At 42.8% G+C, this 18527-nt stretch overlaps 1 protein-coding gene across 15 annotated transcripts in view; it reads right to left on the bottom strand.

Moving 5' to 3' along the window:
• Positions 1-18527, bottom strand: part of TEX26 (testis expressed 26) — a 42845-nt gene that overhangs the window by 3356 nt on the left and 20962 nt on the right. For 6 of the 15 annotated variants that reach the window (XM_047430094.1, NM_152325.3, NM_001353391.2 and 3 more), the window contains 3 exons: positions 15116-15272; positions 5747-5923; positions 3099-3260 (listed from right to left, as the gene is read on the bottom strand). In XM_047430094.1, coding sequence (XP_047286050.1) covers positions 3099-3260; positions 5747-5923; positions 15116-15272 — 496 coding nt within the window. Of the gene's footprint in view, positions 1-1297; positions 1739-3098; positions 3261-3618; positions 3768-4435; positions 4580-5746; positions 5924-11931; positions 12184-15115; positions 15551-18527 lie in introns of those variants that run through there. The other 9 variants (NR_148425.2, XM_011534926.4, XR_941493.4 and 6 more) reach the window with 8 other exon arrangements.

Genomic DNA, 18527 nt, shown 5'->3' with positions numbered 1-18527 from the left:
GTTGGGAGTACCCCTCACAGACTGCTACTGTACCCGAAGATTACTTTGATTACAGAACTGGTGACATTTTAACTATGTGTCTATCTCCCATACCAGATAATGAGTTCCCTGAGAAGAAGGATTCCTTATTTATCTTTGTATCAACTGAGCATTTCTTGAGTAAATACATTGATTCTTAATATTGAATCACAGGCTAGGAAGAAATGCCTTTTACATGGCCATTTGTGGGAGTTTCAGTTGGAGGAAGAGATGGGAAGGGAGCCATAGCTGAACAAATTCACAGAAAACTGGGTATCAGATCATTTTACCTTTCAACTAGGGGAAAAGTGGACTGATGACACAGTCTTTACCAATAGGAAACAGTTGCCCAATGAGTAAGCTTTTGAGTGGTCTGAAGCAGACTCAGAGATTAAAACAATTTGAAAGTAGAATAGTCACTAAAGATAACTAGTTCAACCTCCTCAAGTTATAAATAAACTGAATACCAAATAGTGGTGACATACGGAGTTAGTGGAAATGAAAGGTTTGCCTTCAGCTCTCTCTCCTTTATGCTTTCACAGCGTTAGTTTTTGTCATATTGGAGTTTTCTCTTCTCTGTATTTCACCCTCCAACACGCACCGTCTCTCTCCCACACCCTCACCTCCCACCCAACTTGGCCCATTACTTAAGAACAAGCCTGGCCTTTTCCCTTTCTCTCTCTCTGTATCTCTTTCTCTCTCTCTTTTAAAATGTACCTGTTCTAGGCTTCTATTCCATCAGAGACTACAACCTATGAGAGATAATCCTGTAAAATAATTTAAGCTGAGTTGATAATAATTCTGCCTAACACATCTGCCAGGTTCTTAAATTATCTGCATATGTACTCAGCCACAAAAGCTCTGCTGTGATATTCACCAGCTGAAAAGCATCAGTGCCATGCCTGACACAAGAAAATGACAAGAGGTTTTGGGCACAAGAATTCAGAGGGAAACTTCCATTTGTTTTTCAGCTTCTAATAAAGCTGGCATTGATGAGTGGGCCATTCTACAGCAGAGCTTGGAAAGAGGAGTGAAAATCCATGGGAAGCAGATCCTGCATCAGCCCAAGGCAGCCCCAAAGAGGAAAGCTCTGGGGCATGAGCCTTCAGGCACCTGCCCCTGGTGCTGCCCTGAGGGAACCAGGAAAGCAGAAGAGCTAAGAAGAAACAAAACCCTAGCTTATTCTAAGTTACCTTGTTAGCTAACAGGTCTACCTCACCTGTCTGGGGAGGAAAACCCCATTAGGTGGACAGAGTGTTTACCTGAAAGATCAGCTTACCCCAGTATCTTGGAGAATGTAGATCTGAGGCTGCCAGAGCACTTTGAGGAGTCCCTAGTTCACCCTCAGGGGCGCCACTAAGGTTGGATTGCACCTGACACACAGTAAGAGACAGCGGTGCCTGCAGACACCATGGTTTCCATGAAGGCAGAGAAATGACAGCTGAATCTGCATTGCAAGTCCCTGGGCAGATGGGAGCATCTGCTTAGGGAAGACAAAAATCCTCTTTCTACAGGGTCCAACAGATGTGGATCCTAAAGGTAAAAAGAGCTCCTTGTAAAATGCAGAGGATAATTTTATATACAAAATTGAAAGCAAGAACAGGCAGGCTGACTTGAGCTTGCTGCAGAGCTTTGGCTGGGAACTCTGGGAAGATTGAGCCAGCAGAGCCTTAGGAGCCTCTTGGTTTTCTTCTGAAGTGCCAGACTGGCCCAGAGGCATCTGTGGAGAGCAGGGAGGCATCATACTCACTCCATGTTCCTTTATCTCAACAGAAAATGTATACTCCTGTCTCAGTAGGAGGGAAACACCTGCTTCTTGTACCTCCCTGAAACCCAGCATTCAAGTTCTTAGAAGGGTCTTTAGGCTCTCAGCCCTCAATGTGTGAGAGTGGAAAATACTTCCTTTCTCCCAGCACACACACACACACACACACACACACACACACACACACACACACTCACACACACCCTTCCCTGTCAGCCTTGACTACAGTAGGTTTTCAGTCTTTCTTAGGGCAGGAGATCCCCAAAACGAGGGTTTCAGCGAGGATTTCAGAGGTGCAAGCTCTTCTGATTGTGGCTGGGGACAGCACCTGGAGGCCCAAGAGAGTCAGACAAGAGACAGAGAGCCCTTGGAGGGATCCCACATGGCCAGTGGAAGTCCCAACCTCATCACAGGGCACACAATAAGTTAGTAGCCCCCAGATAGCCTAGAGCACAAAATGGGGTACAGAAAATGATCAGCTGGGTACAGGAATAAATATTAGACTTTTATTGATATTTTTTACTTCCTTCTGTAACAGTTTGTATGTTTTATAAATGTATGTGATACATTAGTTTAGTTGGCATATGAATATATTTTATATAAATTTTTACATCTGCACTGGGTGATGTACTCACAAATGAGGGGGAATAGGGGGTGTGTGATCCCTCACGTAGGATGCTGAGAGGCAGCTGCAGGAAGAGCTCAGTTTCCTCTCCTCAAGCGCTCTTATTCTCTGAGTTCACATTTTATACACTCTCAGACTGACCTGTTGCCCCTAAGATGCCCCCAAATCAATTCCAGTCACTTGGCTGCAAACTAGGATAAGTCTTTTGTCATGTGGAGTGAAGCCACATCAATGGCATTTGCTCTCCTTCAGAGAGTGATATATAGAGATTTTCCTGTACCTTAAAAAGCTTATCACAAAAATGTACCAGCAAACAGAAAATAAAGATTAGACAAAATACAGCAAAACAACGTGACTGTACAAACACCCAAAGGAGAAATCAATTAGCTCTAAGAAAAAGAGGAATCATCCTGGAGCAATTCAGCCACAGGCAAAATGAGAACAGAAATGAGTGAAAAGCTGTATGTCTCTTTTTTAATAAGTGGGGATATAGTCACTGGGCCTCCTTAAAGGAAAATGTCTTTTCAGTGGATTGAGGTTTGCACAACACTATGAGTTTTTTTTTTTTTTGAGGCAATGTTTTCATTTTTGTGGGCATTCAACTCCAGTGGCTAGAACTTGGAACAGTTTCTATTTGGCAAAAGCAATGTATTGTGATCTGTAAGTGTGTGAAATAAGACCTCATCTTACCTTTGTAGGAAAGACTCTGAAGGTACTCTTTGACTTGAGAGGAAGTAAATGAGTTTAAAAGCATTAAGAAATCTGGGTAGGTTTTGTCGTAGTCACTTTGGTATGTGGTCTGTTTCTTTGTGTGCTCTTGGTTCCTCAGGTAGCTGTGCAGCACAGAAGGCACTATAGAAATACACAGGGGAGGAGAGGTCGGAAGGCTGGCACCCAAGCACACCAGTCTTGCCCTTATTGTTTGAAAATGACCCTGACAGCCCCCAGCCCAGCTTTGAGCTTAGGCAGCATCCTTCATGATGCTGGACATTAAGGCTCTGTATTAAACAAATTCTTCCAATGACCAGGGCTGAGCAGAGCTGCAGGGACTTCCAGCCTGTTGCTGCTGGAAGTGGCAGTGATCGGAGAATGACCAGAAGGGTGAGTTTGACCATCACTTTCAGAAGAGAAGTTTTCCCTGAACTTGACTCTTATGCAGGTCAGTGTGTTATGATAGTGAAGGAAACTGAAATATTTCACCCCAAATTACACGTCTTTGATATACGTTGAGATGGCTGTTGAGAAGGCCTGCAGACAGAAGTAGTCCTGCAAAGTTGTCTTTGAGAGTGGGGTGACCCGCATCCACAGGGAATCTGCACTGATGAAGCCTGGCTTTCCAAGGCCTTCCCTTGTCTGGATCTAAGAAAGATTAACTACGATCGGACTTCATAGGTCTAAAAGAAACCTTTACCATCATTCTCTCTGGGGGCTGCTACCACTGAACAAGACCAACTTTGCTAGCCAGGTCTCCTCTTCTCCCCCTCCCATAACCTGTTTAGCCAGCTCTTTCTATAACCTCAAGATGATATAAAAGCATCAACCCTCCCATAATTTCTTTGAGTTCTTATATTTTGCTTGACTCCCATGCATGTTAATAAATTTATATGCCTTTTCTCCTTTTAATCTGCTTTTTGTCAGTCAATTTTTCAGCAAACCTTCAGAGGGTAAAGAGGAAGTTTGCCCTTGGCCACTATGATGGTGATATTCACTGCCTACTTAATAAACAAAGGTCCTCATAGAAGCTTCTTCTTTCAGGACATCTCCTGTGCACATTTGGGATGGCACAGTAAGGGACTTCCTTCCAGGGACCTAGGCATCTTCGGATGAGGATTTTAGAAGAACGATGGTGTTTACAGTCATCGCTCATTGTCCATTTGGACTAATGGGGGTCTGAGGTGCAGGCAACACCCAAATCACTTATATTTGATTATGAATATTGCTCATTTAATGTGAGTTCTAATATTCCAGAAACTATCATGAAAAAAATAATAGAATCACGATGTAAAAACCAAATTTTCACAACCTACCCAATCCTTTTAAACCTTAAGAACACCTTCCAGCTCCAGGGATCCCCTTTAAGGGGTCATTGGCCAAATGGAGGAACCAAACTGGTGAGAGGATTTGACACTGCACCCTGAGAAGAGTGTTTGTAGGGCCTGGAAATGCTTTAACTGGAAAAGAGAAGACTTAGAAGGCATATGACAAGGTTTTTGTAGGGTCATAGATTTATACTAACTAACATCCATGGGAAGAAGTGGAACCAGTGGCTAGAAGTTTAGCAAGGAATATTACAGCTGCTACAACTTCTACACAGTTGGAGCATCAGACAACGAAGGGGGATGGGGCTACCCTGAAGTGGATACACAGGGGCACTGTCACCCCTTGGCAAGGATGGAGTCAGGAAGAGTCACACATATGAGGCTCTGGATGAGGTAATTTCTAGGCCACCTTCTAACCCCAAGGTGCTAAGCATCAATTCTGTGATTATTGTCTCAAGTGCTACTTGATCCCAACCCCATGCCAGGAATGAACCATGTCTCAGACTGACACCAAGTTTTCTGTTTAACTAGTAGCTTGGAGGTGGCTTGGTCACGGAATTTTTAAAAACTTTCAGGGGATGCACATGTGGATACACTTCCAATAGAAAATTGAGACTAAACTGGATTCCCACCCCATTGCTTTCTGTCACTTGACAGCAACTGCATCCTTCCCTCTCATTTTTTAGGAGAAGGAAGCATCCCCTAATCCCAACCACTGCCCCTCCCCAGCAGGGATGATACTCATTTCTTGGCCTAAGCAGTCAGTCATCTTCTGCAATGTACTGGCTCCCTGGGTTACAGGTTGGGAGCTGCAGCGACAAGGTTCTGATTTCATGCCAGGATCTCTGGCTTTCTCCATGACTATTACCAAAACGGGCTGCCAGCGCCCTCTGTGTTGAGAAGTTTTGGAGCCAGGGGTTAAGATCTATGAGGTTGTTTTAGAAACTGCAGCTGGGCTGGGCTCATGCCTGTAACTCCAGCCTGTAACCCTAGCACTTTGGGAGGCCGAGGCAGGTGGATCACCTGACACCAGGAGTTTGAGACCAGCCTGGCCAACATGGCAAAATCCCATCTCTACTAAAAATACAAAGAATTAGCTGGGCATGGTGGTGCGCACCTGTAATCCTAGCTACTCGGGAGGCTGAGGCAGGAGAATCGCTTGAACCCAGGAGGCGGAGATCTCAGTGAGCCAAGATTGTGCCACTGCACTCCAGCCTGGGCGACAAGAGGGAAACTCCGTCTCAAAAAAAAAAAAAAAAAAAAAAGAGAAAAAGAAAAAGAAACTGCAGCTGTACTCACCTAGACCCTGAGAAGCAACAGGCAAGCTTGAGTAGCATCCATATTTGAAACTGAAATCTTGAAGCTCAGGAATTTTAGCTGGAATTTGGTAATTCCTTCGGAATTCAGTGTCTGGAGGTTGGGGAAGTAACTTTTTCCATTCCAGAGACAAGTGAGAACTTTTCTTAATCTTCTGAGCTGGGGTGGAATGGAAATGGAAGGCAATACTTACTCCTTGTGAACAAAGTAGCTAAACCCACTCTTGCTGTGTTTAGAGGTATGGTCAATGTGCCCTGTATGAACACTTCAATGGAGAAATAATTTTCTGCTTTGTCAGTCACAGGAAGTATATACTCAAATGATCAGAAGTGGTCTCTAGTGAATATATTTTTATGTCATGAGTCTGCTCAGTGGGCACAGAAGACACTGATCACTCCACTGGGTCTGTCTGGTCCCTGGGGCAGAGGTGGGTGTCAGAGAGATTTTGGATAGGGCCAGGGTCGCCATATAAAACATGGGATGCCCAGTTAAATTTGAATTTCAGATAATGACTTTTTTAGTGTAAATACTTGCTATCTACTGCATATCATTATTCAAATTTAACTGGGCATCCCATAGTTTTATTTGCTTAATCTGGCAGGCTTAGATGGGGTGCTGTATATCATCCCTATTACCTGGAAAAAAAAAACACTCGAAGCTTATCCCTTACTGATGGAGGGTTAGGCATCACTGCATTAGTGGATAGCACCACTGTTATTTCTTTGAAATATCTCTGCTAAAACATATTCATTCAATATCTATGAAGCACTGAAGCCAGTGTTACAAACATTATCAGATTACAGAGGCAAGAGTCACAATCCATCTCACTTAGAATGAGTTCATTCCTGATTCTTGCTACAAAGCCTTAGTTCAGAGGCATATCATGTAACACCATCTTTATTCAGAAAGACAAAGATGTCAAAAATATGAGTTTCATGAGCAATGTCCAAACAGTGCAAATTACTATTGACACTGAACTCAACTCTCTTCCAAATTAGTTTTCCAATAGATCTTTTCAAAATAAATCCTAATATATATTATGTATCAAACGATTTATAATGGTACCTACTGGTATACGTTTTATATCAAAGGATACATAATTGCATCTACTGGCACCTGAGAGCATTTTTATATTGATTTTTTAAAAATGATTTCTGTCTAGACCAGCAGAGGAGGAGAGGATTCCAGTACATGTTGCCTCTTACTTTAGATAACTCAGGAGGAGAGGGCATGGGTATTCAATAGCCCTCATAATGACCTCATAAACTGCCCATACAGAAGACAGGTTATAGAGGGGAGGAACTTGTGGGGCTCAAAATCAGGGCACCCCTTAAGATATTTTGGAAAACCATCTGGTACTGTTCCTGTAACTTCCATCTATAACTTAGTGCTATGATTTGAATGTGTCCCCGCAAAAGCAAACTTAATCCCTAATGCAACAGTGTTGGGAGGTGGGGCCTAATGGGAGGTGTTTGGGTCATGGGCACTCTGCCCTCATGAGTGGATTAATGCTGTTATTGTGGGAGTGGGCTAATTATTGCAAGAGTGGGTTCCTGACAAAAAGGTGAGTTTGGCTTCCTTTCTCTCTCTCACTTTCACGCTCTTGTCCTTCCATTTTCCATCAGGGGATGATGCTGCAAGAAGGCTCTTGCAAGGTGCCAGTACTATGCTCTTGGCTTCCCAGCCTCCAGAATCATGAAACAAATAAATTTATTTCATCATAGATTACCCAGTCTCACATATTTTGTCAAAGCTGTACAAAACAGACTAAGACACTTGACTTTTTCACTAGGAGCTTTATAAGCAAAAACAAATTTCCACTGAAATACTTGATGCTTTTATCTATATCTCTTCCCTAGAGCTACCATTCAATAGTAAATGTTTTCAGTTCCTATATCAGTTCTGTGCTATTTGCCAAGGTTATACATAATTAAGTCATTGTTCTACCTTAAGACAATTAGCGTGAATACAAAGATATCTACAGAACAAACAGGTAGGGAATGTGGTAAGTCTTGCAACCATAACATTTGGAACTGTGGATCTCACGTGGAAATATGACATCAGAATCACCTGGGAAGGGTCTCTCAGAATACATCTGCTGACCCTCATTCCAGACATTGAGAACCTCCAGAAGTGAGCCCCAGGCACTTAGATTGTGAAAACAAACCGCCCATGTGCTTAAGAAATACGACTCAGAGCTTTGAATAGGGTGCTACAGGAGCCCAGAGAGAGTATGAGGGGCTGTGTTGGAGGAAGAGGAGGATGACAAGGACGAAAAGGCAGTCACAGTAAGGAGCTTTGACAACGGGTCAGTACAGAAGCAAAAACTGCATAGTGTGTTTGTGAAACTTGGCCTGGCTCACAGAAGGGTGGGGCATGCAGGGCAGGGAGGAGGAGCTGAGGGTGAAATAGGAGAGGCAAGCTGGGGCCAGGCTGTGAAGAGTCTGGAACGTCCGTTCCACATGAACAATGATGGACCGGCATAGAGGTGGAATCATTGGAGATGAAGACCCAGAAAAGGCAAAAGCCAGGACCTAGACTTAAATATCTATAGAATGAACAGGGAATGTGGTGAGCCTTACAACCATAACACTTGGGACTGTAGATCTCACATGGAAATAAGACATCAGAATCACCTGGGAAAAGTTTTGCAGACTACAAAGAGTCTCACTCTTCATTGATCCTCAGTACTTATCACAGTGATAGAACTCATTAAGTATTTACTAAGTTAATGAGTGAACGCACACACCAAAAAACCTGGAAACATAACTGCTATGGATTAGCAATTAATATCTGAAGTACACTCTAGTGACTGCCTATGTGATCAAGCTATGCTTAAGGTAACTCCTAGTAAACTATATATTGTTCATTCCATAGCATGGGCTTAGTTCTTTAAAATTGAGGCTTTTGTTGTCTTTATAAAATGTTGTGTTAATGAGCTTCATGCGTTATTTGGAAGACAGGTTCCTGATAAAAAGGGACCTAAGCGACACCTAAAACCCCCGTATTTGTGCTAAAGTATGGACAAAAATAATAACCATGAGTTAGAGCTAACCTGACCCAATGACGCCTCCCCCCAGGGTTCCTGTTCCTCAGGAGCTCAGCTCCCTGGGTTTCTTTTCCACTGGAGTAAAACTGGAATGGTTTAGCCCAAAGAAAGAAACTGGCCCATTTAAGATTAGGTATGGCATCTGCAGAAAGGCCCAAACCAAAAGTAAGTCTTCAGCAAGGACCATTCAAAACTATTAGGACCAGCTGAGCACGGTGGCTCATGCCTGCAATGCCAGCACTTTGAGAGGCCGAGGCGGGTGGATCACGAGGTCGGGAGATTGAGACCATCCTGGCTAACACTGAGAAACCCCGTCCCTACTAAAAATACAAAAAAAAAAAATTAGCTGGGCATGGTGGCAGGTGCCTGTAGTCCCAGCTACTCGGGAGGCTCAGGCAGGAGAATGGCATGAACCCGGGAGGCAGAGCTTGCAGTGAGCCAAGATCAGGCCACTGCACTCCAGCCTGGGTGACAGAGTGAGACTCCGTCTCAAAAAAAAAAACAAAAACAAAAACAAAAAACAACCCATTAGGACCATTGACACATAACCTATAGTCAAGTGGGAACTAGCTCCGCTGTCTATCAGCTGCTCTGATTCATCAAAGCCACGTTCTCTAAGCCTGACTGTGAAAAGCAGCACATTTCAGTGCTCCTCAGTCGTTTACCTTAATTCCATAATGAGGATAAAAAGCTAAGACATGGCCCTTGTTCTTCAGAAGCTTAGATTATTACAATATCATAAGTCCTACAAAAGAAGTAAGAACCAGGGCTGTTAAAACACATGGGAAGGCCAATAACCCAAAGGTGGAGGATCAAAGAAGGCTTCCAGAAGAGAGGCGAGGCGTACAACCAGACTTAAATTATGGGTAGACAGAGGCTGAGAAGGAAGGGAGACCTGCTCCACAGGGAGGAAGCAATGTGTGCCACCAGCACAAGGCCACGAGGCATGGAGGTATGCGGAGGCTGTTAGTCGGGACGGCTGGCAAGGTCATGAGGGTGGGGGCTGACAAGAGAGGAGGCAGCATGGCGGCCAGGACCAGATTGTACAGGACTCATGTAAGGCATTTAGCTTTTATCCTGAGGACAATGAAAATTCACTGAAGGGTTTTAATCCATAAAGTGACATCAGTTTGCACATCTGGAGACTCATGATGGCTGTCTTATGGACAGTGGGTTAGAGGACACAAAACTGGAAAAGCTCACTGGGAAAGCTCCTCTAGCTGCCAGGTGGTGAAACAATTGGAGGGAACCTATGGATAATGCAGGAAGATCGGCTGCCGGGGGAAGGAGATGAGTTGGAATGCTCATGAGGCTTTCACTCAGCACCCAATATAGGAAACTGAGGGTCTAAGGAGAGGTTTGGGAAGAGATACAAATGTGGAGGTTCTCAGGATAGTTGTTCTTTAAAGGAATCAGAAACTCTAACAGTTAGAGGCCAAACAGAAAAATCACCAGAGAGAAGGAGTCAAAAAAGTAGGAGGAAACTAGGAATGTGTGGCAACACAGAAATGCAAGAACAGTGGTCTGAGAGAGAGAGCAGAATCCACAGTTAAATGATGCTCAAAAGTTGGGTAAGACACAAATGGAAAAATCTCCATTGAAGGTCATTGCAGACCTTGAAAGGAGCAGTTCAGTGAATGGTGGGGGCAGACACCAGGTTGGAAGGGGTTGAAAAGTCAAAGGGCAAGCTTCCCATTAAACTCAATGGATTGTATCCCTGCAGTTAGGACTCCTCTGTCCCCAAACTCCAGCAAAATGATCGTAGATTAGAAATGTTAACACATTTTTTTAGAAAATGGAAAGCAAATGTAGATGTAGCAACTGATTGAGCAAAGTAGAGGAAGCTGAAGCCTAGATGACTGCAGCAGGGAATAATAGCAAAGAAGTGAACTAGGTAACCCACACTACAGAACACTTGCAGGCTCAAAGGTAACAGGTACAGTGGAAGGCAGGGAGCAAGGCTCAGGGCTGAACACAGAGGCTTGGCTGAAAGCTTGAATACCAAGTGGCTTCCCGGATCACCTTCATAACCCTGCATAGTCATATGACTATTCCTTCCTAACTAGAAGTTTATTCTCTGCAAAACTGAACCAAAGAAGCTCTGGACTGAGGGACACCAGGCATGGTAAAAGGTGAGTGGAGTGAGATGCTTGATTGAAAAAAAGAGGGGTCAGTGAAAGTCTGCACACCAGCCAGGAAGATCCCAACCCCTTGCTTCTCCACTCCTGCTCTCAGAATGCCAGCAGTCAGAATTACCTCTCTGGAGAGACTGATCCACAAATAATGGCATTTAGGGATTTCCCCCAAGAAAGATAGCTCATCCTCTAATCACCTAAGTCAAGTACCAGCTAACAAGTCCCTTCTTTGTACACAGTTTTTAATTATATTTGATACCTCCTTTGTAGGTTTTTGAGCCTTGGAGTTTAATATTTTGTGTGCACCCACTTTAAGAAAAAGAAGAGTCCACAAAAGTGAAACTTGAGTTTTATTAGCTTTATAATGAATCGGCCTCTGCTCCCTTGCAAATATGGACAATCAAATTTTCATTAGACCATTAAGACACTCAGAGAAAAATGGAAACAATGCAAGAAACAGATGAAAATGCTGAAAGTTAATTATATCATAAATATCTTAAAATTCATGAGAATTACTGCATTATAAAATAAGAGCAGAATGCTGTTTTTAAAAAATAATTGGAGGGAGGAAGAAAGAGAGCTTAGAAATTAAAAATATGAGACCTGTAATAAAATTTAATGAAGAGCTAGATTAAAAAGTAAAGAAGTTTTCAGCCAGGCATGGTGGCTCATATCTGTAATCCTAGCACTTTGGGAGGCTGAGGTGGGTGGATTGCCTGACCTCAGGAGTTCAAGACCAGCCTGGGCAACATGGTGAAATCCTGACTCTACTAAAAATACAAACAAATTAGCCGGACGTGGTGGTGCATGCCTGCAGTCTCAGCTACTCAGGAGGCTAAGGCATGAGAATTGCTTGAATCTGGGAGGCAGAGGCTGCAGTGAGCCAAGATCACACAACTGCACTCCAGCCTGGTGGAGATTCTGTCTCCATGAAAAACAAACAAACAGACAAAACAAAAAAGGTATAGAAGTTTTCAAATAAACAGAACAAAAATACAAAGAGAAAGAAGCTAGGAGAGAAAAGGTAAGATAATTTAAGGCTCGATCCAACTATCCAGTAGCTTCCTAAGAAAGGGTGTGTTGGAGGAACTTTTGAAAGTATATTCTTGTCAATCTGGAAATGTCTTTTTTTCTTCATTAGACTTGCTTGATAGTTTGGCTGGATATAGAATTTTAGGTTGGAAATCACTTCCCTTCAACACATTTTTCCAAATGTCTTCTAGCATCCAGGATTTCTATGTAGAAGACAGATGACATTTTAATTTCTGATCTTTTTTATGTCAACCCCCTGGAAACACTTAAGATCTCTTTATTCCTGACATTCTGAAATTCCACACTTACATGCATTAGTGACAGTCTTTTGTCATTCGTTATGTCAGGCATTCAGGGGCCCTTTCAATCTAGAAACTCTGAGAATTTTTTCCTGCATTACTCCTTTAATATTTTTCTCTCCTCTCTTTTCTCTGTTCTATTCTGTCATTGTGTTTGGAAAAAATTTTGGTAAGTGTACAACAAAGTATGGAAAAAAATAGTGACAGGCATGTAGAAAAGTAAACACGTAGAGAAAAACAATTAATTCTGGTAAAAATAAGAGAAAACAACAAGCAAAGGAAATAATGAAATACAACTTGGCTCAGCAGCAAACATTTACGTACTCATGTAATCACAGTATGTCATATCATAATATATACACTAGCAATTGAATTTAACAAGAAATCTGTAATATAATTATATTGACATGATGGATGGAGGGCCAGTGAGACAGAGTTATAGGATAGCCAAATCCTCAGCTTCCAAAACAGAAGTCAATAACGTCTAAAATTCATGAATGAAGAGGAGCAGTAGAAGCAAATTATTTAAAAATCACATAAGAAGAAATAGTTAACCAGATTGAAATTGACTGCCAATGAGGAATAAGAGTAGGGATGGGGCGGGGTAGGTCAAGGAACTACTGTTGTTTCTTTATATGCCTGTAAGTAATCATTTAAGTATATGCATACATTTGTTTAATAAAAGTAAATTTTAATGTTTAAAAACTGTAAACAAGAAGTTAGGAATTCAGAATACCATGTATAAACTGACTCTTGAAGGAATTTTAGCTGGGAAGGAGGTAGTTCTAATAAGAGAAGCCAGACTGCCTGGGTTCAAATCCTAGACACCACCAGTCCTGAGCTGGGCAACCCTGGGCATGTTGCTTAACCACACTGAGTTTTAGATCCCCCTCTTTGATTGGCGGTAATAACTTCACAGGTTGTGAAAATTAACTGTGTTAATTTATGAAAAGCTAAGGGCTTAGTAAACATTGGCTGTTTATGAAGGGAAGCAGAGAAATGAACAGTAGCTAAAAGAAGAGATGGGGTTGAGGGAAAGCTCTGTTTTTGTTTTCATCTGGAACATGCTAGACGGGATATACTACAGTCAATGTGCATGCCGGTGGGGTGGGATTAATACTTTAGAGATGGAGGGATGATGTTGGAGAAAAGGCCAGAGAACTGGAAAGATAAAGTTCTTGTTCAGGGGACAGGGAGACAGATCCACAGCTCACAGGGATTGATGGTTCTGTTGGGGCAGGAAAAGGGATGTAGGATGAAGATGGAGACACCCAGACCTTGAGAGATGTGTCATTCTCCTGTCCTCGGGTGAACAGGGGCCCTCAGCACTCCCTGGCTTGTGTTCAGAGCCCACAGGGCAGCCAGCCTTCCTCAGCAGTCACTGGGTGTCATTATTTTGTCACCAAAAAGCAGGAGAACACCAATACTCCAACTGCCATTGTGTCACAGGGCTTAGAGCCATGCACCAGCGTGTGTGGCTTTCTCAGTAACTTAGGAAAAGATTTCCGTCTGTGCGTCTAAAAATATAATCAATTTTCATGAATTCTCAATAAAGTAAATTTCCTGCTGATAAGCAAGACCAAAATTGCATTGAATCACCAAATATGTCATTTCTGGAAAATGTGTTGGTATAGATGGAACTCATTTTTGACCCCCTGAGACATGGAAGCTATGATGTCATCTCTACTTACCCTACAAAAAAACAGTCAAAGGTGTTCCCAGCCACAGAGCCCTAAGGGCAGAGCCAGGTGAAGCATGAGAGAATCTAGATTCTCACAGGGGAATCTGCATAGCAGAGTTCCCATCCCAGGACACATGTGCTCTTCCAGGAAGCAGGATGAATAGTGTGCTGGACTTTTCATCTCTAACAAAGGAGAGAATAAAATGGCCCTCACTTCATCCTCTCATGGTTTCCTACTTACCTACAGAAGACACCAGCATCCCATCCACAAGGAACTCCAAGGCAGACTCCTATTACTCCCGTATCTCTGACATCTGTCAGTCACTCATCCCTATCATTCATTTATTTGTTCAACCAATATTTATTTTCATCACCTGTGATAAGCCAGGCACTGGGGTGGGTGCTGGTGAGACAATGTGAGCCAAAAGCCACAGCCCCTACCCTGGAAGGGGCTTATTGCTGACTGAAGTGCCCATGCCACCACCTTGCAGATCCTGCCTCCATCCGCACTGCCACAGCCCTGTGTCAAGCCACCTCACTCCTCTCTGCGCTCCCCTAACAGCCTCCTCCTGTCCACCTTCTTCCTGAAGGGCCATCTCCATTCTTCACTCTGCAGCCAGTGTGAGGCTTCTAAAAGTCGACATCTGAATTGTGTCACTACCTTAATAAAAACCTCTTAATTGCTTCTGGGATGAACTCCAAACTCTTTAGTATGCCCTGTAATGCCCTTCCAGACTGGGTGTTCTCTGCCCACGTTGATCTCCTCCCTCAACCCTCCCTTTGCCCTTGATGCTCTACTCTTGCTGAAGTTCTTTTAGTTCCTGAAATGTTCCTGCAGGTCTTCAATCCTGTAACAACACTCTCCCCTACCTCTTTGCCTGGCTAATTCCTCTTCATCCTTTGGGCCAGGCAGGGAAGCCTTTCCTGACCCCCTATCCCACACTAAGCTGGATGTCTTCCTGTATGCCCACAGCAACCTGCATTTCCCACAAGGTGCACCTTTTTATACTTGATGGTTTTTATTTGCAAAGTCGCCTGTCTCCATGCCTAGACTTCAAGTTCCTTGAAGGAGAAGAACACACGCATGCTGCCGACCACTGCAACTCCAGGGCCTACCACATGACCCAGGAAAAAAAGAAAAACAAAAGTGTTTACCTTTTGATCTGTCCACAAAGTCTCTCTTAGTAAGGGAAATAAACTGATTTGATAGTGCCTTGTTAACTTCTTTCATTGAAGCCGGGATTTTCCAAGGGAGGCAGTTCTTTAGTGTCCCCGTTTGTTGACAGTGAGGTAGTGTCCACAGGAAAATGTCCTATCAAAGCAAACATAATTTTCAAGAAAATCCATATGGGTTCACCCAATAGGATCAATAATCTGAGTGTCTGTGTGCACATATTCTTCAGAATCCTTTACAACCAGCTGCCACTGCAGGTGCATGGATGCTGGGAGCCCGTCAACAGGAGACATTGGTTGACCCAGTCGAAACGCGGGCTCTGTACATTTCTTTGACTTTTCACATTGAAAATGAGAAAATGAGATTGAAAACTTCAAAGAGTTGTGCTTCCAACCAGAAGTCTCCTACAGATAAGACTAAGGGAAGAAATAACCCATGTTAATTCTAGTTCTGGCCATTCCCAAGGAGCACAGGCAGTAGCTGCTTTCCCCTTGGGAGCCCCTGAGGAAAACTCTGCCTTACATGCAGAGGCCTCAGCAACTTGCTGAAGGACAGGAATGGCCAGCACTCTCTTGTCACCTCCAAATGTCCAACAATGATAGACTGGATTAAGAAAATGTGGCACATATACACCATGGAATACTATGCAGCCATAAAAAATGATGAGTTCATGTCCTTTGTAGGGACATGGATGAAGCTGGAAACCATCATTCTCAGCAAACTATTGCAAGGACAAAAAACCAAACACCGCATGTTCTCACTCATAGGTGGGAATTGAACAATGAGAACACATGGACACAGGAAGGGGAACATCACACACCGGGGCCTGTTGTGGGGTGGGGGGAGGGGGGAGGGATAGCATTAGGATATATACCTAATGCTAAATGACTAGTTAATGGGTGCAGCACACCAACATGGCACATGTATACATATGTAACAAACTTGCACGTTGTGCACATGTACCCTAAAACTTAAAGTATAATAATAATAAAATTAAAAAAGAGAGATTTTAGGATGATAAAACTTGAAATCTTCACCCCCTCTTGCCATCGTCCCTCTTTCCCATGATCTTGCTTCCTATTTCCCTGAGAAAATTGAAGCCACCAGAAAATAACCTCCACAGCCCACCAACCGTGTCCCAGCCACCGCACCTGCACTCACACATGCTGTGACGGGAGGGGAGCCGCGCAGGTGCCCTCAGCAAGGCCCAGCCCCGCCTGCAGCACTAGATCCCTCTCTACTGAGTCTACTCCAGCAAATCGCTCCAACAGTCCTTACTTCTCTCTTGCAACTTGAATCTCTTCCTCTCTGCTGGATCATTGCCATCTGTATCAAAGAATGCGTTTATTTCTCCTATCTTAAAAAGAAAGCACTCTCTTCACTGTACTTCCCCTTCTAGTTACTAAGCTATTCCTCAGTTTCCCTTTGCACCAAAATTCTTCAAAATAGTTAGGTATACTCGCTGTCCCAAACTTGCCTTTTAAACCTCTTTTAATTTTCAAGTTCTCTCTTGATTCCCTTCTTTCCCTCACAATCTATCAACTGGAAAAACCAATACATAAAATTATGATTTATCTATTGAAGAAGCCATTTGCTGTGCAGAGGTCCCAAAGTCTGGATTTTGTTGATTGCGTATGCATTTGTTGTTTAACAAGTTCCTCTGTCCCCTGTATTTCCTGCAAATTGGCAGGTGTATCCAGAGACTCAAATTCACTAAACTAGAAGTCAAGCTTGTCCAACCTGTGGCCCCACCCAGGATGGCTTTGAATGTGGCCCAACACAAATTCATAAACTTATTTAAAACATTATGAGATATTTTTGCGATTTCATTTTTTAAAGCTCATCAGCTATCATTAGTGTTAGTGTATTTTATGTGTGGCCCAAAGCAATTCTTCTTCCACTGTGGCCCAGGGAAGCCAAAAGATTAGACACCCCTGAATAAATGGTGTTTCACAAGGCTGTAGGAGGCAGATAATACATCGTTGTTTTTCTTGTGTAACGTTAGCAGTTGTTGATATTCAATACCTAGAATAATAGGAGCTGCCATCTGGCATGTGAACACTCATTGGCTGAGAACACGCAGGACAGTCAGCCACACTAGCTCTCATTGGTTGAGAGCCTTCAATAGTACTTAGAGGAAGGGAAAATTATATGGTCGTGTGTTTGTGAATGTATAAATACAGTATAATATTGTATACATACAGTATAATATTGTAATCAACTCTTCTACATTAATTTTAAAATATAAAGGATGACCAAGCATAGTGTCTCACGGCTGTAATCCCAGGGCTTTGGAAGGCCAGGGTGAAAGGATTGCTTGAACCCAGGAGTTTGAGACCAGCCTGGGAAACAGAGTGAGATTCTATCTCTACAAAAAATAAAAAATTAGCTGGGCATGGTGGCATGCACCTGTACTTTAAGCTACTCTGGAGGGTGAGGTGGGAGCATCACTTGAGTTCAAGAGTTCGAGGCTGTAGTGACCTCTGATTGATTGTGCCACTGCACTTCACCCTGGGCCACAAAGCAAGATCTTGTCTGTAATATATCTAATTATACATAATAATACATATGTTAGAGACATATTTTTATATTATATATAAATTATATATTAAATATATAATTTAGATATATATATTTTTAGAGACAGGAGTTTTATGTGTATATCTCCAAGAGATATATACATACATATATGTGTGTGTGTGTGTGTGTGTGTGTGTGTGTGTGTGTGTGTGTATAGGTCTATAAATATATATATTTTTTTTCAGGGTTGAATACATTACAATGAATGGATATCACAAGGAACCAAATTTAATCAGCTATATGTATACATTCTAATGACTTCCAAGTCCATATGTCCAGCTCATCTCTCCCCCAAGAGCTCCAGACCTGTCTATTAAACTGCCTGTTGGACACATCTTCAACCAACATGTCTTCAACTGAAACTACATGTTCCCCCAATGCCCTTCTCCACCCAACCTGGTCCTCCACCATGTTCCAGCTGAGTAAACAGAATCTGCATACACCAGCTGTCCAAGTCAGAAGTTGAACATTATACTTTCCTCTTCCTTATCCTTTGCATCCTTTTAGTCATCAAATCCTGTTCATTCTACCACTTTATCATCTATTGAATGCATCAAGGTGGCTCCATCCCAGGTTGTCCCATCCCATGTGGCAGTCAAGCAAATGAAACCCTTTACTACAACAAAGCATTACCTTTTGTGATGGGAGAAGGGAATAGAAAGACAAGAAAACACACACGGAGAATCAGCTATTTCCACCCAGGGGAGAAGGAACTTAGAGATGGCTTTCTTTAATGTGAGTCTTGAAGAAATATAGGAGTTCCCTTCATGCACAGGATAAGGGCATTCTAGGTAGAGGCAACAGAATGATTTA

The sequence above is a fragment of the Homo sapiens genome, chromosome 13, assembly GCF_000001405.40.
Source record: "Homo sapiens chromosome 13, GRCh38.p14 Primary Assembly".
Lineage (NCBI taxonomy): Eukaryota > Metazoa > Chordata > Mammalia > Primates > Hominidae > Homo > Homo sapiens.
The sequence above is the reverse complement of the archived record's forward strand: the minus strand, read 5'-3'. Positions and strand labels throughout refer to the sequence as shown.